The sequence below is a fragment of the Homo sapiens genome, chromosome X, assembly GCF_000001405.40.
Source record: "Homo sapiens chromosome X, GRCh38.p14 Primary Assembly".
Lineage (NCBI taxonomy): Eukaryota > Metazoa > Chordata > Mammalia > Primates > Hominidae > Homo > Homo sapiens.
The window spans coordinates 13688594-13711815 of NC_000023.11; the positions used below are offsets into that span (position 1 = coordinate 13688594).

Sequence of the window (23222 nt, forward strand, 5' to 3'; positions counted from 1 at the left end):
CCCGCCTGTAGGGTTCTGTATCATAGGATCCATGCACTCAACTTCATACATAAAGCAAGGACTTAAGGAGAGCTTCTCCAATACCACCTTTTGCACCATCGCTTTCTATTCAGAGATGACAGAGGCAGTATTTTAACAAGATTAAAGGAAAGTTTTAATAGCTTCATTTAAAAAGTTCTTGTTTTTCCACAGTATCACAACTGTTTTCATTTTTCATCCACCTGTTTGTTCTTTGTCCGTTTGACTAGTCGTTTTTATCATTGTAATCACGACATCCTGTGACTGTGCTCATGAGGTCTGTTTATTTCCACTTTACGTAAACTTTTCAAAATGACAGTTATTTCGTACTCGCTGTCGCCCGAACGCAGACGGGAGGACACTTCAGGAGCAATCGACCCGAAGGAAAAGCACGATCCAGGCCCCGCCTGCCTCGGCTCCACCTTCCCCGCGCCCGTCCCCCAGGGTCTCGGCCGCGGGACCCCGCCTTCCAGGCCCCGCCCCGCTTTTTCCCTGGCCCCGCCCCGGCCCGTCGCCATGTTGTTCCCTCCGCGCTGGACGGGAGCAGCTGGAGCGGGAGCCTGGCTGCGCTACCGCGGCTGCCTCCTGCTGTGCAGGTCCCCGACCCTCTCTCTGTCCTCATTGCGCCCAGACGGGCCGGCCCAGAGCTCCCGGGTCGTCTTTCGTGTGGCCGCGAGGTGAGCGGGACTCGGGACTCCTTCGGGACCGGGCGGAGTGCGCGGGTGTCGGGGTCTGAGGGGGCGGCTCGGGCCTCGGGCAGCTGGGGCGGGGTGCGGTGCGCGCGGGGCTAGCGCGGGTCACAAGGCCGCCCCGGGAGAGAGGACGGCTGGTTGTCTCCCTGCCTCCTCTCTGACGCAGGAGGAAAGACGGTCCCCACACCCTTGGGGAGAGGGACTCACAGAAACACACACAAACACTGGAGAAAGGGAGATACAAAAGCCCGGACACCCGTGCACATACACACGGAGAAATACACCCGGTCACCTGGGAACACACGTACACGCCAGCCTTTCCCCCAACCACTCCGGGACACACATCCACAGACCCCAAACCAAATCCTACACCCGAATGATTAATGTAGGGAAAACAAAGGCGCTCCCATGACTTGATTTTGGCGACCTCTGAAGTTCCACCTAGCAGAACGTGTTTGCTCGATGTCTTACGACCACTCGGGTGAGGAATTCGGAAAGTAAAGCCAATCTTAGAGGCTGCAGGCGTTTTGGGGGCATTATCTGATTCAGACGCTGGCTAACGTTTCACAATCGCGTTCCCTTTTTTCTTCCAACTTGGTAAGTAAAAAGGCAAAATGAGAAATTTAAGTGCTGAACTTAATAAATAGTTGGTGGACGTATTGCTTTTTTTTTTTTTTGGTAAGGGATGACACATCTCGTGACTACAGTTCTTTTGAGGAATAACTTTTCTGCTAGTTTCCAAATCGGCACGTGACCACAATCTTTTCATAGGATTTTAGCGTCCTGATAAAAATCAATGGGCAGAATTTGATTGCTTCTTTAAAAATGTGTTTGTCCTTCGGTCTCTGGCACCATTGTAATGGAAAATCCCTACATTGCCTGTACTCTCAGAAGCTGTCCAGTGTAGCAAAACTAGAGATAAAGAAACCTGGAACGATTCAGTTAGGAACTTTTAAGAAGCCAGCCTTTAGTTTTTCCTTTAGAAGATTATGAAGTTATCATGATTGCTTCTCTAGAACTTTAGTAGTTATTTGGATTCCTAAATCTAAGACAATGCTGTGGCAGTCTGGTGCTTTTAGTATTTTTGTGTCTGCTGTGGTAAATTCCTCGTTTATACTACAAAGTTTCTCTTCTGGAGACTTTTGGGATCTGGGCATATTTTTTCGTTTATTATTTGGAATGTTAGAGTAGATAGGCAAACACTAAGTAGAACATCATTGGCTTTGACTCCAAGCCGGGTTTTAGAGATAAGGGAAATAATACCTTAGTGCTATCACTTCTTTTCCAACCTCTCTCATCTCTTTTTGTTTCTATCTCAACCATTTCTTCTGTCTGGACTACAGTACTCTGGAGGCCTAAAGAGAAGATCCTTGAGTTCTCGAAATTATTTTTTTTTAGCCTCCCCTCATTTCTGACCATTTATTGAGCACTCACTCTGCGGCGAATATTCCGTACGTGTAAATCCTGTACGTACATCATTTTATTTAATTTCCATAGCATTTCTTCAGTAAGAGCTCCATGTTACAGTTGAGGAATTTGGGGGGGCATAGGAAGGTTCAGTCTGTTTTCCAAGATGACCCAGGTTGTGATGGGGTGGAGCGGGGATTCAAAGCAGGTCTGGGTAATTTTAGAGTAGTAGTTTTCAACTGGAAGAGAGGACAATTTTGTCCTCGTAGGAGACATTTGGCAATGCCTGGAGGCATCTTTGGTTCACACCTGGGGGCAAGGGAGGTGCTGCTGACATCTAGTGGGTAGAGGCCAGGGATGCTGCTAAACATTCTTTTTTATTTTTATTTTTGTTATTTAATTTTTAAATTTTGCTGCTAAACATTCTATAACCTACAGGACAGCCCCCCACAACAGAGTTGTCTAGCCCAAAATGTCACTAGTGCCACGGTTGAGAAACCCTCCTTTTCAGCAGTCCAAGTAACCCCAGAGCTTACATTTCAACTGCTTTTGTAGTTTTTCAAATGCAATGTCGTTTTCCTATTTGGGATACCTCATCATTTTAACAGTGAGCAGGGGAAAATTCTCTCTACTGAGAAGCATATTCACTTGAAAGATTAAAGAGTGAGTGGCTGGGCACGGTGGCTCACGCCTGTAATCCCAGCACTTTGGGAGGCCGAGGTGGGCGGATCACGAGGTCAGGAGTTTGAAACCAGCCTGGCCAACATGGTGAAACTCCGTTTCTACTAAAAATACAAAAATTAGCCAGGCGTGGTGGCGGATGCCCGTAATCCCAGCTACTCAGGAGGCTGAGGCAGGAGAATCGCTTGAACCTGGGAGGCAGAGGTTGCAGTGAGCCGAGATCACGCCATTGCGCTCCAGCCTGGGCAACAGAATGAGACTCCATCTCAAAAAAAAAAAAAAAAAAAAAAAAAAAAGACCAAATAATTTCTGGTAGCAGAATCTGTTTTTTGTTGTAAGGCAAAAATGACAAAAAGAACTTTAGAGCTATTCAGAGCCATTAAAGTGGACTTAGAAAGTTTAGTTTCTGCATTATTTCAGTTGTCTGAGCAGCCTGTGGGGCACTGATACAAAGGTGCTGATGAGAAGGGCGGTGGGGAGTCCCAACCTTCCTGAAGCTTACAGTCCAATCACAGTCATAAGATTAGGTTCTGACATCATCCTAGAACAGAATTTATTGCCTGGGCTACTCAAGGACAGGGGCCAGGTGTTCATTAAAAAAAAGCAAAACAGGAAAAAAAAGCAAAACAGGCTGAGTGTGGTGGCTCATGCCTGTAATCTCAGCGCTTTGGGAGACCCACACAGGAGGATCACTTGAGCCCAGAAGTTTGAGACCAGCCTGGGCAACATAGTGAGACCCCCGTCTCTACAAAAAATAAATTAAAAAAAAAATTAGCCTAGCTCAGTGTGGTGGTGCATGTCCCAGCTACTCTGGAGGCTGAGGCAGAAGGACGACTTGAGCCCTGGAGTTCAAGGCTGCAGTGAGTCATGATCACACCACTGCATTCCAGCCTGGGCGATAGAGTGAGACCTTGTCGCTAAAAAAATAACAATAATTAAAGAAAACAACTCCACACTCGGCACAGAAGTACCTGTGTCATGGTGTTTACTGTGGGCAGACTTAAATAAAATGGGGAAAACTTGATGTGTGTGTTATAGTTTTGTACGGTTAACCACGTGTGAATATTTACAAGAATCAAATTGAGAAGCCATTCTTGTTGAGCATAAAATTCATCCTTAAATTTCACCTCACCAGACAAATAGTTATGCCTGCATTTTATCACTGGAATCGAGAAAGAAATGATGAATTTTTTAATGGCTTTTCCATAACTTTCTGGTGTTTTCTGGTCTCTTTTTCATGCCTGTCTAAGATCAGGCCTTTCAAAATATGTACTGCTTCATTCTGGTGGCAGTATTAACTGTTAGGTGAACTTTGGGAGGGAGTGGTTGACTGGAGCAGTCAAAAAGGATCGCATCTCTTTTTAGGCATCACTGAGTGTTATTCACGCAATCAACATGGCATCTTTTTGTCGGTAGCTTTGGTTTTTGACTCATGCCAATGCACAGCACGTTCTTTGCTGATGAATAGATTTCTCTGCCTCTTATCAGGAGTTGTCTGCTGTGGGGTAGGGAGGATGTTGAGTTACACACCTCAAAATGATTGCTAGTGCATACACATGGAATCTAACAAAAGTGACGTGTTTTATTCTGGGAAAGGTCGAGATAAATTGGTGCTAGAGTTGTCTTGTTTGATCATTAATTGGCTTGCTCCTCCAGCCAACTTAGGTCACCACATTTCCTTCTGGGTAAAATGAGATGGCTGTGCTTCATAATCTCTAGGAGATTATATGTCACAAAGTAGAGGCAGCAAATTATTAGCTTCCAAGTAGTTCTGCCCAGGCAATGTGTTAAGCAGCAGGAGGAGGAAGTAAGCCAAATGGAAGTGTGTGTGTGTTTGGGCAACGCATCTAACTTGAAAGGTGTATAGATAATAGACTCTTCAGTCAGAACCAAGCATAAGAGAATAGGATTTGTGACTAAGTAGGCCATCAACAGAGAACATTTATTAAGGACTTTTTTGTAGAGGAGTGAGGGTGAACTCAAAAAATGTTTCAGGGAGTTTGGTGGAAAGCTATGATGCAATTGGAAGGCGAGGATGCCTGAGGGAGGAGACGTGGAGCCACCTAGGTGTGTAGGCAGAGGGGAGGGAGGTCGGAGGCGGTCCCAGGCCGTGTTGCCAGAGAGCCCAGGGGTGCCAGGGCTAGTTAGATAACTTGGAGGAGAAATCTCTGTTTCTCACCATGACTCTTGGTACTGTGCATGTTGTGAAGCTGTGTGCTCTGGGTATTTCCACATTCTGGATTTTTCAAATCCTTTTGTTAATTTTTGACCATGGTGAGTTCAGGCGTTGTTATTATGTTGCTTATTATGAATACAGTGAGGATGACTAGGTGTAAATGAATGTAAGGTAACAGCTAGATCTGCCTGAGGTGGAGAGAGACTGGGTGTGTATTTTGGAAAAAAAATGGAGAAGTGAAACAGGCTGTTCAGGCTTCACATTCTGGCTGCATGGAAGCCAGCTCATTGCATTCTCCAGGAGTTCTCTGGGAGTCTGTGGACACAGACTCCACTTTTGTCTTAGGCCTGACTCGTACAAACATATTCTGTTGTTTGACAGGGGATGGAGAAACACTATAGAACAACTGGACACATTCATTTCATTGCCACATTCTTTATTCAAGTGTGACAGAGAGCAAAACAGTATAAAGGAGTTGAACTGACTACTGTATTTTAATTTCAAGTTCCTGTGAATTGGATTAGATTTTTGGGTACAGAAGCTAAGGTAATTTCCAAAAGGTTAGTGCCCATAAGACTGTCTATGTTCTCAGAGTTAGAAAAACCTGGGAAAAAAAAAAGCCTTACAGACCTCTGTTTCTACAACTTGCTGTGCAGAACTCTAACAGATAGGAGTGTTTATGCAGCTAGGTGACTGCTCTGGTCTGTGCAGTTTCACACCTGTGTATTTGATCAGATGTATATACCTGGAAATACATACATAATGTGGTTGGAAGTCAGATTAGAACTGCCTGAGGACTACCCATTGGTGAATGCAGAACATTCTTTGGAATGAGTGCTAGTATTCTTAAATAACATTTAAAAATAGTTGTTTGGGAGCAAACAGTTGCCACCCTCATAATCCACTTTAATTTGTGCCCAGTACTTGATTTTTATCACAGCAGTCCTGGAAAACCTAGCTTCATGAAGATATGATGTCATCGAAAGGAATGCAGTGCAATCTAATTAACTCCCCTCCAGTGGGGTGCCCTACAAATGTCAAGTATCTATGTTTCCCTCAGAAATTTAAAATAGCCCACCCTGCCCTTGTGAATTTGCCGTGATGCTTTGGGGCACCTCAGCATGCAGTTTGGGAACCTCAGGATTAGAAGTTGGTATTATTGGCTCTAGTTTATGGACTACAAGGTATAGTGGTGAGGAGAAAAGGCATCAAAGTCCGTTTTTAATTCTCCATCCCCCCTTCCAGTATCTGTAAGCTTTTCCCTTGGGCCCCTCATTTCCCCCAGAGCTTTGCAGTTTTGGGATGCTACCCTTTTAGTTGCTAAGCTGAGGGGAGGGACAGACAGGAAAGAGACTGCAGTTCAGGTTTCCTGTGCAAATCGTCCCTCCAGCTCCACTTTCCTTTGTGCTTTCTCTCCATTTTCTGCTGGGTGCAATTCCTTAGGAAGTGGGTCTGCTAGGGTAGCACAGGGATGTGGGTCATGGAATCTACAGCCTTTCAGGGACCCCTCGAGCCTCCGGACCCGGCCTGTCTGGAGAAGTCTCGAGAAGTGCCCGTGTGCTGTTCAGTTCTTTTCCAGTTCTCTGGTGGGAATCAGCTTTCTCATTGTTGGCTGCTGCTTTCCGCATTAGGTTTCATTGTCTCTTCACTCTGTCACTCCCGGACCATTTGCTTTCCACTTTCTAAATTTTGTTGCTGTCTTGCATCTACAGTTGTTCTTTCTTGGTGTCCTTTTTGGATTTGTACCTTACGTAGACCTTTTCTGTCACTGGGTGGGAGTGAAGATAACACATACTTGACCTGCCCTATTTAGTTAGACCTGGGGAAGTTTGTGGACTTCTGTTTATTGATCTATAAAACATGGATGATAGTGTCCAACTTGCAGGTAATTTTAAGGTGCTATATGCCAGGTACCTAGTAGATATTCAGTTAATAGTGGCTGCTAATATAATTACAGCCATAGCATTTATTATTTGAGCAAGCAAGGCAATAGCAATAGGTAGTGCGAAAAGTGGACATATTTCATGTGTGGCTGAATGAAGTGCGTAAGAGAAAAGAAAGAGATTTTCGAAATGGAGAAAATAATTAGCTCAGTTTTAGATATGTTGAATTTGAACTACCATCAGGGTACCAGATGAACATACTATACAAGGGGTTGCAAATTCTTGTCTGGCTCAGACATGCGGATGTAGACTTTAGGAATCACTGGTTTTTATAGCCCAGGGAGATACCATCTGGAAACAGGTAAGGGTTTCAGTCTCGTGAAATAGCTTCATGAAGAGCTTGTCAGGAAAGGGAGCTGTCTATGTTGAAGAAAGCTAAGGGGCCAAGGAGGAGAGAAAGCAGAACCTATTATCAGAGTGGTTTTATGGACAATTAGGAAACATTTTCAAGAGGATTACTGCCAGGCTGTTTGGACCTGATAGAAGCAGTAATGGGTGGTAAGTCCTGGCTCAGACTTGAAGGTCTCCCCTGTGCCTCTAGCTAGATGTGTGATCCTGTGTAAGACACTTTCCCAGTTAGACCTGTTTCCTTATTTGTTTTTAAAAAACACTTGAGGCCAGGCACGGTGGCTCACACCTGTAATCCTAGCACTTTGGGAGGCCAAGGAGGGAGGCTTGCTTGAGCCCAGGAGTTCAAGACCAGCCTGGGCAAGATGGTGAAACCTTGTCATTACAAAAAAAAAAAAAAAATTAAAAAAAAAATTAGCCAGTCTTGGTGGTATGCACCTGTAGTCCCAGCTACTCTGGAGGCTGAAATGGGAGGATCACTTGAGCCCGGGAGTTTGAGGCTGCAGTGAGCTATGATCATGCCACTGCCCTCCAGCCTGGGTGGTAGAGAAAGACTCTGTCTTTTAAAAAAAGAAAAAAGACTTGGGTACCCTTCCAAGATTTTAGTTCATGCACATTCAGACAGATGGCTACACCTGAGAGAATTCACTATATACTAGCTGGGCCTCAGGTGGAGATGCTGGTCAAACTTGCAGGTGTTTTCTAGAAACATACACAATGAAGTCCTGAGAGAAGAACTTTTCCCTGTATTCACCTTAGGGTTGTATGTGCCGTAGGGCATTCAGATGAGGACTGAGAAAAAGCCATTGGATTGGCCATTAGGAGGTCTTTGGTGACTTTTGCTGACAATCAGGGGGAAAGGATGGGGTGGGAGCCCTGGTGTCCTATAAACTGAGCAGAGAGTTAATCAGGTTTGCAGGCACATTGAGAAATGGGTAGTGATGGGCAGAGTGAGGTTGGGCTTGGAAAGCTTTTTGTGAGAAAAGTCAGTTTCAACACTTCGATAGGGGCAGACCTGGGGGGATCATTGACAAAGTGACAGTTACATTGGATAAACTGAACTTGATGAAGAGCTGCCTGCAGTGTTGAGCTGGTGACAACTTCCCTGCAGAGTGGTATTTGGGAGCCTCTAGTCTAGTCGAGTCCTATATACCGGACATAGCTGCCCCTCTTTAAATATATCTTCTTAGGAAATCCTCACTCCTTGTAATTAACTTCTCTAACAGTCGAGAAGTTTCCTTTTGCTGTGGCTCCATGCCTTGTGGAGCCCCTCACTCAGTGAGTTTGTATAGTTCCCCAACCCCTAGCTTTGTCTGCTGTAAATTAAAGACATTTGGTTTCTTATCGAACTGGAAGGGAGGCCTCAGAACCAATGTTTCTTTAGGTGATAGCAGAACGTTGCAGATCATTTTTGATTTGTGTTTTGCTGCTTTAATATATTTTTCTGACATATATGTTCAAATTCATTCCTTTCATAATTTGTTTTTCTTCCTGAAATATCTACCTTTAATTCCCCATGTTCTCATCTTGTGACTTTTATCTATGTCTTTGCATTTTAATTCTGTCTTCCAAAGTGCACTCTATTGTCAAAAAGTATTGTAAGTACCTTTTACAGGTAAGTGTCATCGCAGGTAGATTTATGCTTGGTTCTTAAAACTTAAGCAAAACAAAAAAAAATTATTCTCACTTCTCAGGACTAGCAGTTTCCCATGAGTAAGGCTGTTCACTGAACTATCACAGTTTATGGTCAAAGTGTGATATTCATAAAAGTCTCATGGGTGAGGGAGAAAAAGAGGAAATTCTGCTAAAGACAGAAACTCTTGAAGGGTGTTATGAGCTACAGAAATGGATCACACATAACATACAAATGATGCAGGCATGTAGCAATCAGTTCTTGGTGTCCAAACTCCTTAAGATCTGATGAAACATTTTTTGTTCTTTCCAGAAAAAAAGCGCAAGCACACAAGCTTCCACCAATGCTCTCATCCTTATTTCACATGTGATTCTAGGGAGTGTATTTTCTCCCTGAAGCTCATTTCATGGACTCCCAATTAACCACACTCTAGGCCTGCACTGTCCAACACAGTTCCCACTAGCCTCATGTAGCAATTTAAACTAGTTAAAATTAAATGAAAAATTCAGTTCTTCAGTTAGACCAGCTACTTTCCAGTGCTCAGTAGCCACATGTGATTAGTGGCTACCATATTGGACAGTGCAGATTATAGAACATTGTCGTCATTGCAGAAGGGTCTGTTGGATTTTGCTGCACTATATAGTTTCATGATGGTTTAAGATTTAGTTCCTTAACTAAGTCTTCTTTTTCTTTTTTTTCTTTTTTTTTTTTTTTTTTTTTTTGGCCCTTCTCACTTCCTCCTTTCCCACTCCCCCCACCACTGTTAGTGATTAGTTAACATACCTACAGAGGTGCCTTGTTTTAAGAAAAATGTTAACATATTTCTTAAAAGTTAAGTTAGCTGATTCAGCTTCAAAAAAAGTTACTTAATTGAAATAAGTTCTTTCAATAGGGGAGGTGCTCTGACATAGCGATAGTATGGTTTGATAATACAGTTTTTCTCCTCTAGCTGCCTCCTGTTCTTGAGGTAATGCTCAGTGATTAACTAGATAGGACTAGATAATTTATTTCACCTTGGCAGGTCTTGCCTCCAAGTTGGCCTATTCCTATGGTATTTCCTTTTCTTTCTTTTGCTTCTTCCTGCACACTAAGTATGGTATTTTCTGACAGTATTTTTCTTAATTCTTTATTTATTTTTCTTGGTAATTTCTTGCTGTAGAGCTGGTACCCATTAGACATAATGACTTTCCTTGACTTGCTTCTTGCTCATAAATTTCTGTAAGACAATCAGGAAGTTTTTAGAAACAAACAGTGGAACCAATTAGGCTGTTAAGTGAGACACGCCTAAATTAAGCTATGAGGAAATAAATACAGCTCCAGCAAAAATAGAAATAATTTTCAGATTATCCATGCTTTTGTTTCCCTGGTTTTCTTTGAACCTCATTTCCTCAAGCTATGAAGTGAAATGAAGTGGTAAGTACACCTCTAAGTAGGACATTCAGGGTGAATCCAAAGGAACTTGTGAATTTGACCAAAAAAAAAAAAAAAATCTGTTCCTAAATTTAAACCAGGAGTGATAAATTCATTTTAAGTTTTTGGAGGGGTTACAGAGTATGTGTTTTAAAATCTCAAGTTTTGAGAAGGCAGTTTACAAATGATGCCTGCTCTCCCTTTGGCAGCTTATTAAGGAATGTAGTCGTTTTTCAGCATTTGCCAGCTCCCTGTCGCAGTCAGTCAATAGTACTTATTTTAAAGTGGGATTCTCATTGGGATTGCAAGTAAGAATCAATGTTTTTGTTCCTACCCACACATTTTAATAGACCTCAAAAATAGAATGCGGGGAGAACTGATAGAGAAACAAAGAATTTTAGGTACAGAAAGCACAAATAGAATAATAATAGAATAACAAGAATAAAAGAGGAAGTAATATACTCTTCGTTCTCAATGTAGCATTTATTTGCACCTCACCAAATGTAGAGCATTGTACGAGAAGTGGCAGAACAAAAAAGGGACAAGTGAATGGATGCAATTAGGTGTTGTGTGTCCCTCCCAGGGAGTTGACATTGTAATTAGGAAACAGACACATACACAACTGAAGGTGATTAGAGCATAAGTAAATGAGAGCTGTAAAGAGGTGGAAATGATGAGAGCAAAGAAAAGAGAAAGATTAGGTTGCTGGGGCGGTCCTGGCTTCCTACATGAGGTAATCTGGACTAGGCTTCTGATGACTAAGATTGTCATAGCTGTCGAAGTAGGGAGGGGCCTCCCAGGCCAAAGTAACAGCCCGAGCAAAGATATGGACAGAAAATGCCAGTGATAGGTGCGGGGATGGTGAGTAGTAGGGATATAATTGGGACAGGCTTGTAACTGACATTGAATAGCTCTTTGAATGCCATGCTCAAAATCCTGTATAATAAAAATAATAAATAAATGAATTTAGTTATCTGTCAGAATGGAGACAATTAGATCCAGGACCAATAAAAAAAGTCTAACTTCAGTCACATACACAGTCATATTAGAGATTTATATTCTTTTTTTTTGGAGACAGAGTCTCACTCTGTCACCCAGGCTGGAGTGCAATGGCACAATCTCGGCTCACTGCAACCTCTGCCTCTCCAACAATCCTCCTGCCTCAGCCTCCCAAGTAGCTGGAACTACAAGCAGGCACCACCACACCTGGCTAATTTGTGTATTTTTTGTAGAGATGGGGTTTCACCATGTTGCCCAGGCTGGTTCCTGAACTCTTGGGCTCAAGTGATCTGCCCATCTCGGCTTCCCAAAGTGCTGGGATTACAGGCATGAGCCACCGTGCGTGGCCAGCAGATTTAAATTCTTGATGCTTGGACCTTGAGGCTTTCTATTCTTCCCCTTGGTTTATTGTAGGATGTGGCTTTGGAAGCCAGCAAGGGGTTGGAGAAGGCCAGAGAAAAGGGTACTACTGATAAACTATTCATGAACAATTGATAGTATAAGATAAAAGTACATAATGGAAAAGTTGGGAAAATAGTGTTATAAGAAGGAAAGGGTTAACATAAAATGTTCTTTTGTCTTTTGAATTTTGCCGTATCTGCTGGCAATGTGGTTCATTTGTTTTCCTGCCAGTGACCTGCTTATCCAACTTTACATTCGGATTAGTGTATGACACATACAGCATATGTTGGTACCGGCACGTGGTGTGGGAATCCTAAAGTAGTGTCTGTTGTACATGTAAATGATTTATTTAAAGGGATGCTGCTGAAGGGACAAGGAGAACATTTGTAGCTCTAGTAGTGTAAATCTAATTCTAGGGTCATATTTTTAATTCTCAGGAGATTTGCACATATATTTTCACATACAGTAAAAATTTTTTTTTTTTTCAAGGTAGGGTCTCACTCTGTCACCCAGGCTGGAGTGCAGTGATGTGATCACAGCTCACTGCAGCCTTGACCTCCCCAGGCTCAGGTGATCTTTCTACCTCAGCCTTCTGAGTAGCTGGGACTACAGGCATGCGCCACCATGTCCAGCTAATTTTTGTATTTTTTGTAGAGATGAAGTTTTACCATGTAGCCCAGGCTGGTCTCAAACTCCTGAGCTCAAGTGATCTGCCTGCCTCTGCCTCCCGTAGTGTTGGGTTTACAGGCGTGAGCCATGGCGCCTGGCCGAATTCACCCTTTTAAAGTATACAGTTGATTGGTGTTTATAGTATATTCACAGAGTTGTACAACCATCACTACTATCTAATTCCAGAATATTTTTATTACCCCCCCAAAAAAACCCCATACCCATTAGCAGTCCCTCCTCCTTTACCTGCCACTGCCCCCCGCCCCATCCGTTGACAACCATGAATCTACCATCTCCATATTTGCCTATTCTGAACATTTTATATAAATGGAATCATACAATAGGTAGCCTTTTGTTCTGACTTCCTTCACTTAGCATAATGTTTTTGAGGTTTATCTACGTTACAACATTGCATGGATGTATGATGCATTTTATTTATCCATTCATTAATTGATGGACATTGTCTTTCTTTTTAGGGGAAGGTGGTTTGATAATAGTATGGGTATGCATTTTTTTGGTGCAATCTAAAACATTGACAACTCAGAAATGTATGGACATTTCTGTAATTGGATAGTACACATCCATGTAATGTGGGTTAAGAGAGCATGTTTCACTTTTATTAGACATAGTAGGCATGTCAATTACAGAATTCCTTATGGTAAATGGTAGAGGCACGCACAGGATGGTTAAGAGTGTCGAGGAAGGGGGTTCAGTTGGAGATGTCCAGTAGGTGTTCGGGAGGAGGTGAGGTCTAGCTGCATCCACACGGCTGACTAGGAGTTAGACAGGTAAAGGGCCAGGGATTTGAATGTGAACAAGGTAAAACACGAAGTCATATAGTAAATATCTTACTGGAGGATCAAGTGTGAGGTATAACCACCTCAATTTTCATTCGTAAGCCCAGCTGACACTGTTAGTGGAGAGGGATCATAGCAGCATCCATCCCAGCTTGTCCAAGGCCTTCCTCCCCACCTCACCCACAGCCCTTCTCCCATTGCATCCAGTTAGCTTTCTGGACTCCTTATCTGACCAGGTCACCCACTGCTGAAGCTATTTCAGAGGGTCCCCATCATTCCTAGAGTACAGGCAGAAATCCTTTCCATGGCTTCTACTCGCCTCCCTGCTCCTGGGCCTCTTCCTTCAGTCTTGTCTTTGTAGCATACTCTTCACTCTCTAGCCTCCGGGTGCTCAGGCCTACCTTGAGTTCTCCCAGTTCATGCCAGGGCCAGGCTTCTTTGGCAGGGCTTTGGCATGGATTGGTTCCACTTTCTGGTTCCTGCTCCCTCCTCTTTTCTCATAGTTTTCTCTTTCTCCTGCTGAGCTTAGCCTGTGGTCAAACCTACTTCCCCTGGGTCAAATCTCCCTCCAGCAGAATCAGACTTTAGTGAGGGCTGTGTTCTCATGGCAGCACGTGGCTAAAATGATCATGGAGACATTGCTTTGGAACACATCACACTAGAAACCGATGTACAGTCTCTCATTAACACAGTGTAACACAGCCTAGTTTACCTCTGATATTAGAAGTTACCTCTTTTTCCTTAACTGTAGCTCAGCAAGTGAAATAGTTGGCCTGTGTTACAGGATCATGTTTGCATGTAAATTAAGTCCCCCAGGTGGCTGGACTCTCATGGACTCAGGCAACTCCGTAAGATAGTGGCATGGGGAATCTGAGTGTGATTGAGAGAGCCCCAGGTTTACACATTGTGTGTCTCACTCACTGAGGGAGATGGTGGGCAGAATCCCTTGCACTATTTTAAGGTGTTCTTCGATTTTTGGTTGAGTGTGAATAGTTGTACTTTGTACCATATACCTCTCATTTTGTGAGGTACAGTTGTGACTTAAATGCATTTTTGTGTGGATGTCACAAACTTGGGACTGTATGTGTGGCTTGTATCCTCAGGGTCTGGCTCATAGTAGGCACTCACTAAATACTTATTGAAAAATTCCTTTCCCAATCGTTCTACCAAATGGTAAGCTTCTGCAAAATTTGACTCATTTCATGTAAAACATTTTTTAAACTACTTAAACTCTAATAAAGCATAGACACTCACATGTGCTTTATGCTACATGTCAGTAAGATTGGAGATTACTAGTTCTGTCAGGTTAACCTTGCTCTTGAGCAGATTTTGAAATAAAGCAAGTGGTTGAAAGATTCTTACCATTTGCAATTGCTTATTTTCATTCTACCTGCAGCAACAACAGTAGAATCTCAGAAACAGATGCATAGGCAGCTGGGATTGACGTAGCCTAGTGGGTTAAGTGCCTGGGCTTTAGAGTCAGTCGGCCATGTTCATATCTTACTCCCACCTTTTACTAGGTGTGTGACCTTGAGCATGTATGTAACCTCTCTGAGTCAGTATCGTCATGTGTAATAGGTACTAAGAAACTTGTGAGGAATAAACACAGTGTTGTAGCTTGCATACCATACTGGGCTCAAGGCTAGCTGCTGTTGTTGTTGTTTCATCTTCAACCCCAAATGTCAGGATTTTGAAGTCTCATTTTATTATTGATTGAATTTATAAGTTAAGGACTGCTGTATGTAAGTCCCACAAAAATGCCCTTTGCTTTAAAAAGTGGTTGGTGGGGAGAGTGGTTGAAACCTTTGGTTCAGACCAATAGAGGCTAGTACTTTAGCACAGTTCCACATAGTGATCACTGGGAGACCTTGACATTGAATTTGATCTGTAGGACTAGGATCCTTCAGCTTCCTAATGTAGGCCTGTATCATCCTCTAATTTGTTCTGCCTGTTGCCCTTACTGAAGGTTGATGTAAGACATGACCATAGAAAGAACCTGTCTGTAAAACTGCCAGTGAAGACTTCTTCATGTATTCATTTCACAGACACTCTTGCACTCCTGTAATGAGCCTGGCACTGTGATGAAACACTTTTCCCGTGTCGTTTGAGTGCATCTTCTCAACAACCCTAGGAGGTAGGTACTGTTGTCACTGTTGTTCCCATGAGGCTTCAGGATGTTAAATTGCTCGTCCATGGGGCTGTGCTCATGGCATTTGGTGCCAGGAAGAAGTTTTCTTTTCTGACAGTGTGCTTTGATTTGCACAGAAACAAGAGCGTTTTCATTTTTGCCTTGGCTGCCCTGTAGGTGGGCTACCTTGAGCCTTAGCTTGACCTTTCCTATATCACGTTGGTGCCCCTCCCTCACATGGCCCTTTTCTGTCTTCCCTTTTGTGTTATCTTTATTTTATTCTCTGGAATATGACTCATTCTGAGCCACCGAAAATTTGGGCAAGTTTTGAAGAATGAATGAAATATTACACATTTCCTCTTGATATAATTTCATAGCTATCTCTGAATATAAAACTTAGAAAAGAAGATGGGTAGATGAAAAACTTTTTGAAAAATGCAATGATTAAAGTAGAATATTGATTGTATGACTTTTTTGGGCTGAGAAAGGTCATGGATAGTATTCAGGTTTTTAAGTTAAGAATCTGGCTGTTAATAGAAGTCAGATACTGTACTTTAACATTTTAATTCTTCATTTTACTCTTAAAATTATGAAAACATACACTGCTAAGGTGAGCTTTCTAACTTTTTTATGTAGATAATGATGCTTGAATTGAACAATTAAATTAAGGTAAAATTTATGACCTATGTAATATGCTTTTCTTATATAGATTTCTTTCTTTCTTTTTTTTTTTTTTTAGATAGAGTCTAGCTCTGTCCCCCAGGCTAGAGTGCAGTGGTGCAATCTTGGCTCACTGCAACCTCCACCTCTCAGGTTCAAGTAATTCTCATGCCTCCGCCTCCTGAGTAGCTGGGATTACAGGCATGTGCTACCACGCCCGGCTAATTTTTGTATTTTTAGCAGAGATGAGATGAGGTCTCACCATGTTGGCCAGGCTGGTCTCGAACTCCTGACCTCAAGTGATCTGTCCGCCCCAGCCTCCCAAAGTGCTGGGATTACAGGCATGAGCCACTGTGCCTGGCCCCTTATTCAGATTTCTTTATAGAATTTAGCAGAATTACTAATGTTTAACCTTGGTGAAAATTGCCTTTGGACAGTCATTTTAAACTGTGAAGTATAAGAGACTTCACGTTACCTTTTTAGGCAAATTTTGAAAATAACGTAGTAGGATCCCTTTATTTATTTAACTTATACTAAAGAAATTTCAAAGGATTTTACTGTTTTTAAAGAAAAAATAATATTTTTAATGTCCATAAGCTGATTGTGGTTATATTAATGTATAGATCAAATGAAACTGGCTTTTGTTAGATGTCACTGGTAAATAAGATGGTGTGTACAATGATTTATATCACCATGTGTGTTTTTATACAACTCTAGAGTTAGAGAGATATTCATGTAGAAATTAATTATTTTAGCAAATGCAAATATATTCCCAAATAGGAATATCTGGTAGGCCTCAAACTGTAGATGGGAAATGTAAAAAATTGTACCCTATACTCTGTTTCCTGGTGGGCTGGCATACCCCAAATTCATTTGGTCAGAATGAGACAAACTAAGAAGTCCCACATTATTATGAAAAAAGAACTGTCAAAGTGTCTTGGAAAAATTACAAATTACCACTTTCAAGGAATTTCTACAACTTAATTTAGTAGATATATGCAACCAATAGTCTGGGTGGGGTTTGTTAGATTGCATGATCTGGCTTATAATTTGATATAAAGATGCTAAAAATTCAGTGATGTACAGTAAAACTTTGTGTCTGGTAAGGCTGTTAGATCAGTAGAGACTTATTAAAATACTGGAATAAATTATGTCTGTTGTACTCTCATAACACAACATGGAAATTGTGTGAAAGGAACAACATTGGGAGAGTTGCTGGGGCAGGGTTCCCAGTGGAGGTGACCATGCTAAGCAGTTCTGAAGGCACAGCGGTTCATTGGGGGGGTCACCAGCAAGGAGCAGCATATGCCAGGGTGGAGGCAAGAGGGTGTGGGGTGTGCTGAGTGAGTGGAATTGAATTTTAGTTCCGGGTGATGGTGCATTCAGAATGACTGAAGCAGAGACTGTGAGGGGAAGGTGGCTAGAGTGAGGCTGGCCAAGAGCAGGGGCCAGGTGTCTTGCCTTAGAAGTTGGACTTAGTCCTGGATCTCTGGGAAACAACCCGCTGAAGAATTCTGAGGAGACATTAGATAGATGGTTCCCCTATGTCAAAATAGTTGGTTTGCTTTTATGGTTTTCAATCTTTTCTTTTTAAGTTGTTGAAGCAAGATGCCAAAGAATTAAAGCAGCCAATTTAGCACATTGTTACCTATGTCAGGAAAGTAAGGGGCTTGGGACTGTTGCAGTTTCCTCTTTAACATTAATAGTCTGGATATTGAGCAATACATTTGAAATTGAAAAAGTCTCTCAAAAGGTATGCACCTTAACTGCCACACACTTGTGTTGGACAGTTTAAATTGTATTAATATTAATTATAGTAGTAATTACTGTAGTATTAATTTGTTTTGTTTTTTGAGATGGAGTCTTGCTTTGTCACCTAGGCTGGAGTGCAGTGGTGCAATCTCAGCTCACGGCAACCTACGCCTCCCAGGTTCAAGGGATTCTCCTGCCTCAGCCTAGTACCTGGGACTACAGGCGCTTGCCACCACGTCCAGCTAATTTTTTTTTTTTTTTTGTATTTTTAGTAGAGACGGGGTTTCACCATGTTGGCCAGGCTGGTCTCGAACTCCTGACCTCAAGTGACCTGCCCGCCTCAGCCTCCCCAAGTGCTGGGATTACAGGTGTGAGCCATCGTGCCTGGCCTGTAGTAGTAATTTGAAAGAACCAGTAAGAGGTAGGGACTAAGGTATGTCCCATCATTTTTTAATAGTATTTCCCATTCACTTGATTTCTCACTATACAAGCCACTACAAGGTTTTTATCAGAACAGTGGAGCATGTGGCTAGAAGTGCAGAATTCCTACATGTTACAGTAAGTGTTCAGTTACACTATAGTTGCTCACATTGCATATAACCAGGAGACAGCCAGATAATGTTTACTGCAGTGATTTTACAAATTCATCCTGGTCAATATAACAATTATTGTTCATGTCTTTATTGCCTTCCCATGGAGGGATTCATAATACCTACTTTCCTATTAAGGTTATTGACCAAATTTGCTCTAGATCTGTGCTCTCCAATTGGCTCATTAAATGTGGCTATTTATTTAAAATTGAATAAAATTTAAAATGCGGTTTTTCACTTCCATCAGCCTCATGTCAAGTGTTCCACAGTCACATGCGGCTAAGTGGCTGCTATATTGGACATTTCCATTGTTGCATAAAATTCTCTTGTACAGTGCTGCTCTAATAGTTATCTTCTTATATACATTTTAGTATACTTAAAAACCATTTAATACTAAAGTACAGATTAAATGATATAATCTGATTCGAAATAACTGGGGAGAAGGGAGAGTTGGAGGGGTTATGGAGGAAACAAGATTTGCCATAAGTTGATAATTGTGAAGCTGGGTTTAGAGTTCATGGGAGCTCATTGTATTGTACTCATTATATAGAAATTTTGTACATGTTTTACATTTTTCACAATAAAAATGTAAGCAGAAGGATTAACCAGGAACTGTGCTCCCACCAGCACCTAGAAGTAGCTGTCTGTCAACGGGCATCTGAAATCTCACCCCCCACAGGCTGGCTCTTGTAGTGTAGTAAAGTTTTTAATCCTGCCACAGGACTTCTAAAGAACACATATAGTACCACATTTTCATTTAAGGTTTATTTCATTCTACCTGAAAACACACAAGTAGCAGCAGTCTCATGTTCCTTAAGTGTTTGAACTGCCCAAGTGAATCTTGTGGATAGAATGTGCTAGATTATATTAAAAATTCCATTGCTGCTGACATTAATTTGAACAAATTCAAAATAATGTTCTTAATGAAGAGAATAAAGTCCATTTACTCAGTGGTTGGTTCATACTTTATTTCACAGCCAGGTAAGTCAGTTTCTGTCTCTGGCTTTCCTGGTTAACAGCACCTGTGTCTGAAGAGAGGTGGAGGGAGTAGTAGAGAAAGTCCCTGGTAGGAGAGAGGCCTTAAGTGAACACCATCACTGTGCACTGAAGGGCTGTTTGAAGTTGTTAAGAGAAACATGTGGGCTGGGCATGGTGTCTCACGCCTGTAGTCCCAGCACTTTGGGAGGCCAAGACAGGTGGATTGCTTGGGCCCAGGAGTTTGAAGCCAGCCTGGGCAACGTGGTTGAGACCCTGTCTCTACAAAAAAATAGAAAAATTAGCAAGGCATGGTGGTGTGCACCTGTGATTTCAGCTACTTGGGAGGCTGAGGTGGGAGGATTGCTTGAGCCTGGGAGTTCAAGGCTGCAGTAAGCCAAGATGGTCCCATGCACTCCAACCTGGGTGACAGCGAGATCCTGTCTCAAAAAAAAAAACAAAACCAAAACAACAACAACAACAACATGCGAACTTTGGTCTCCTACCCATCTCTAACAAATGGTGGGGCTTACTATGAGCAGAGAGGGGCTTATCATAGAGTAACGGTTCAGAGCAAGGGCTTTGGGGTCAGACTTGGGCTTGAGTGCCAGCTTCACAGTCAACTGTGACCTGAGAAAAGGGAAGAGTGAGCCCTTCCCAGCTGTTTCAGAGAATAATGGTAGAATAGTAGCCTGCACATGGCTAAGTGCTCAGTAAACAACAAGTCTTATTATTAGGTATTCCCTGGGGCCATATGTTTTATTTCAGCTAAATGCTGATATTCGTAGAATCATGTAGAAGAATGTGTAGGTATAAAGGAATGTAATGGTGCCTTTTTATTTTACAGGGTTCTTGAAGCTTTTGAGATTAACAATGGCAGGAAAATCATCACTTTTTAAAGTAATTCTCCTTGGAGATGGTGGAGTTGGGAAGAGTTCACTTATGAACAGATATGTAACTAATAAGTTTGATACCCAGCTCTTCCATACAATAGGTGTGGAATTTTTAAATAAAGATTTGGAAGTGGATGGACATTTTGTTACCATGCAGATTTGGGACACGGCAGGTCAGGAGCGATTCCGAAGCCTGAGGACACCATTTTACAGAGGTTCTGACTGCTGCCTGCTTACTTTTAGTGTCGATGATTCACAAAGCTTCCAGAACTTAAGTAACTGGAAGAAAGAATTCATATATTATGCAGATGTGAAAGAGCCTGAGAGCTTTCCTTTTGTGATTCTGGGTAACAAGATTGACATAAGCGAACGGCAGGTGTCTACAGAAGAAGCCCAAGCTTGGTGCAGGGACAACGGCGACTATCCTTATTTTGAAACAAGTGCAAAAGATGCCACAAATGTGGCAGCAGCCTTTGAGGAAGCGGTTCGAAGAGTTCTTGCTACCGAGGATAGGTCAGATCATTTGATTCAGACAGACACAGTCAATCTTCACCGAAAGCCCAAGCCTAGCTCATCTTGCTGTTGATTGTTAGATTGTTGATGCATTCTAACCAACTCACACATATACACAAAATCAACATGGGGATGGAGAAGAGAATTAGCGTTTGCAGCAGTGTATCATCTACTAATAAAATTAAACTAATGTTGCTGCTTCATTAGTTGGTGGGAGAAGGGACACATCCACTCTTGGAGGAATATATTTACTCAATAATGGCACCTTACATTTATAAATTGTAACAGTTGTCTAATAACGTTTCTTTAATTTAAATATGTAAGTTGCAGAGCTAATAAATGAAATGACCAAGACTTTAATTATAATAAAAATAAGAAACTTGACTATTCTAGAAGTTATACTTGGATTTTTTCCTGGGAAAATGGAGAACTACTTTTTATATGTGTATGTTTTTATGCAATTAGCATTGTATTCTTGGTTCAGGGAAATACTTTCCTAAAGCAATAATGTTAGATATTAAAGATTAAAATCTAATGTATTTGCAATGCATTGTTAATTTACTTCTTCATTCTCTTCAAAATGATTTAACCATTCCTGTTTTCATTCTACATACTAGAATTACTCTCACTAGTAATTACTCATCATTTGTGTGCCATTCATGCACCCCCACCCCCATAAATCATGTTCCACAGTCTCAGGCGGAGGGTGGGCCCCCAGTGGTACAAGAGTTGCTTCATACAGTCTGTAATACATCCAGCTAAATTCAAGTTGTCTATGAATGGAAAGCCTTTCCATAGATAGAGTTCAGTTTTAAGAAAAAGGCTAACTACTGAACTTGGAGAACAGACAAATGTGCATTTGATAACTGATGTAATAATTACAATGTACTGTGTGGAAGATACAAAATTACAATTCGATTAATGGACTAAATATTTTTGTTACTTTCTTGACCCTTGGGGAAAGTTTCTTAATTGAAGTTAAAACATTCCTTTATAACACAAGACACAAGCTGACTTTATCACTCTCAGAAGAAATACTAAGAAGGATTGTACTTTGTGAGAGGGTAAACGAAGACATCTTTATTCGGCAATGTATTTACTTAGTGTCTTCTCTATTACTGAACATTTAGTGATTTGCTCTCAAGGAGATTTTTTGTTAGAAAAAGACTTGTTGCAGTGATCAGACTTGATAAAGCAAATTGTGGTCTTTTGTGGATGAAGTTCATATGCTGTGTGGTTGGTGACTATCTGATTCTATGGAGGCTAACCAAAGCCTAGACTGAGTGTGGATGAGACCCTCAACTGGGGAGTGATGGGGATATCAAAGGACATGCTGGGTGAGAGGAGCTGACTGTCATGTAGGGAGTGAACCACTGCCCCCAGCAGAGATACAGTTCGGTTTTAAGAAAAAAGGCAAGGCCAGGCGCGGTGGCTCACGCCTGCAATCCCAACACTTTTGGAGGTCAAGAGGTCGACACCATCCTTGACAACATGGTGAACCCGGTCTCTACTAAAAATACAAAAATTAGTTGGGCATCGTGCCTGTAGTCCCAGCTTCTCGGAAGGCTGACGCAGGAGAATCACTTGAACCCGGAAGGTGGAGGTTGCAGTGAGCCGAGATCACATCACTGCACTCCAGCCTGGTGACAGTGAGACTCCACCTCAAAAAAAAAAAAAAAAAAAAAAAAAGCAAACTACTGAACTGGAGAACAGACAAACCTGCATTTGTTAACTGATGTAACAATTACAATGTGCTGTGTGGAAGATACAAAATTACAATTCATTAATGGACTAAATGTTTTTATTTTTCACCCTTGGGGAAAGTTTCCTAGTTGAAGTTAAAACATTCCTACTATTACTTGTCTTAGAAGAAAACCTTTTTATATTTCTGTACAAACTTTTCATTTTAATATTGTGACACCACCATGCAAGTTCTCACACAATATCCGTGTCTTGTAGAGTAGTGAAGTGTTTGTTAAGTAGAAAAACACACCAGTGTGGTACCCAGTGAAAGGTGGTGTCTGGAGAGTCAGTGGTTTCTGGAACTCTGGACTGTCAACCAGGAAGTGTTGAAGTGACTGAAAAATTAAAGCACATGGGTAATAGCATGGGCAGAGCAGAGACTGAGACGATCTATGTCCATGCCAAAGGAAGCATCCTAGTAAGTTTCTGGCTATGGCAAGATGACAAAACTCGGTGTACGTTTTATCTGGATCACTTTTGGAGCACTAAAGCAGATAACCAACTTTGTGCTAACATACATGTGCTCAGGAGAGCCTGATTTTAAGACTGACTTCACCCCATTGCTCTTGTGTTCCAGAACCTTCAAGGAACATCACCTACCAGATCCAAGCTTTGCCAGCTTAGCTTTCCTCATGATCAGCTCCTATCTATCTATCAATCAATCAGCTGTCAGTTCCACCCATGTGCCCAAGTGCTCTTCACACCTTCACACCTGCAATGCTTTCCTGTGCAGCCTACCTTGGAGGTCCCACTCAATGCTCCACTTCCCTTCCAGCTCCTTTGAAGACTCAGT

General features: G+C 41.9%; 1 protein-coding gene across 4 annotated transcripts, besides 4 other annotated features; it reads left to right on the forward strand.

Annotated features, from left to right (window-relative positions):
• Positions 235–284: an enhancer, noted in NCBI's record as "active region_29444". NCBI's record gives its function as "activates an Ori minimal core promoter by ATAC-STARR-seq in GM12878 lymphoblastoid cells {active_cell/tissue: GM12878}" and the evidence as "EXISTENCE:reporter gene assay evidence [ECO:0000049][PMID:35858748]".
• Positions 435–674: a silencer, noted in NCBI's record as "silent region_20667". NCBI's record gives its function as "represses an Ori minimal core promoter by ATAC-STARR-seq in GM12878 lymphoblastoid cells {active_cell/tissue: GM12878}" and the evidence as "EXISTENCE:reporter gene assay evidence [ECO:0000049][PMID:35858748]".
• Positions 535–21911, forward strand: RAB9A (RAB9A, member RAS oncogene family). 4 transcript variants are annotated; one of them, XM_047442645.1, is made up of 3 exons: positions 535–695; positions 15142–15309; positions 20128–21911. In XM_047442645.1, exon 3 carries the CDS (start codon positions 20154–20156, stop codon positions 20757–20759), a length of 606 nt encoding a protein of 201 aa, XP_047298601.1. In that variant the 5' UTR covers positions 535–695; positions 15142–15309; positions 20128–20153; the 3' UTR covers positions 20760–21911. The 4 variants fall into 4 exon arrangements, with proteins under 4 accessions (XP_047298601.1, NP_004242.1, NP_001182257.1 ...); NM_004251.5 differs by having other exon boundaries at positions 15221–15309; XM_047442644.1 differs by lacking the exon at positions 535–695 and adding an exon at positions 814–1307.
• Positions 685–844: a silencer, noted in NCBI's record as "silent region_20668". NCBI's record gives its function as "represses an Ori minimal core promoter by ATAC-STARR-seq in GM12878 lymphoblastoid cells {active_cell/tissue: GM12878}" and the evidence as "EXISTENCE:reporter gene assay evidence [ECO:0000049][PMID:35858748]".
• Positions 3469–3665: a silencer, noted in NCBI's record as "fragment chrX:13710181-13710377 (GRCh37/hg19 assembly coordinates)". NCBI's record gives its function as "represses an EF-1alpha promoter that drives an FKBP-Casp9 reporter gene in an ReSE screen in phorbol 12-myristate 13-acetate-treated (for megakaryocytic differentiation) K562 erythroleukemia cells {active_cell/tissue: K562(+PMA)}" and the evidence as "EXISTENCE:reporter gene assay evidence [ECO:0000049][PMID:32094911]".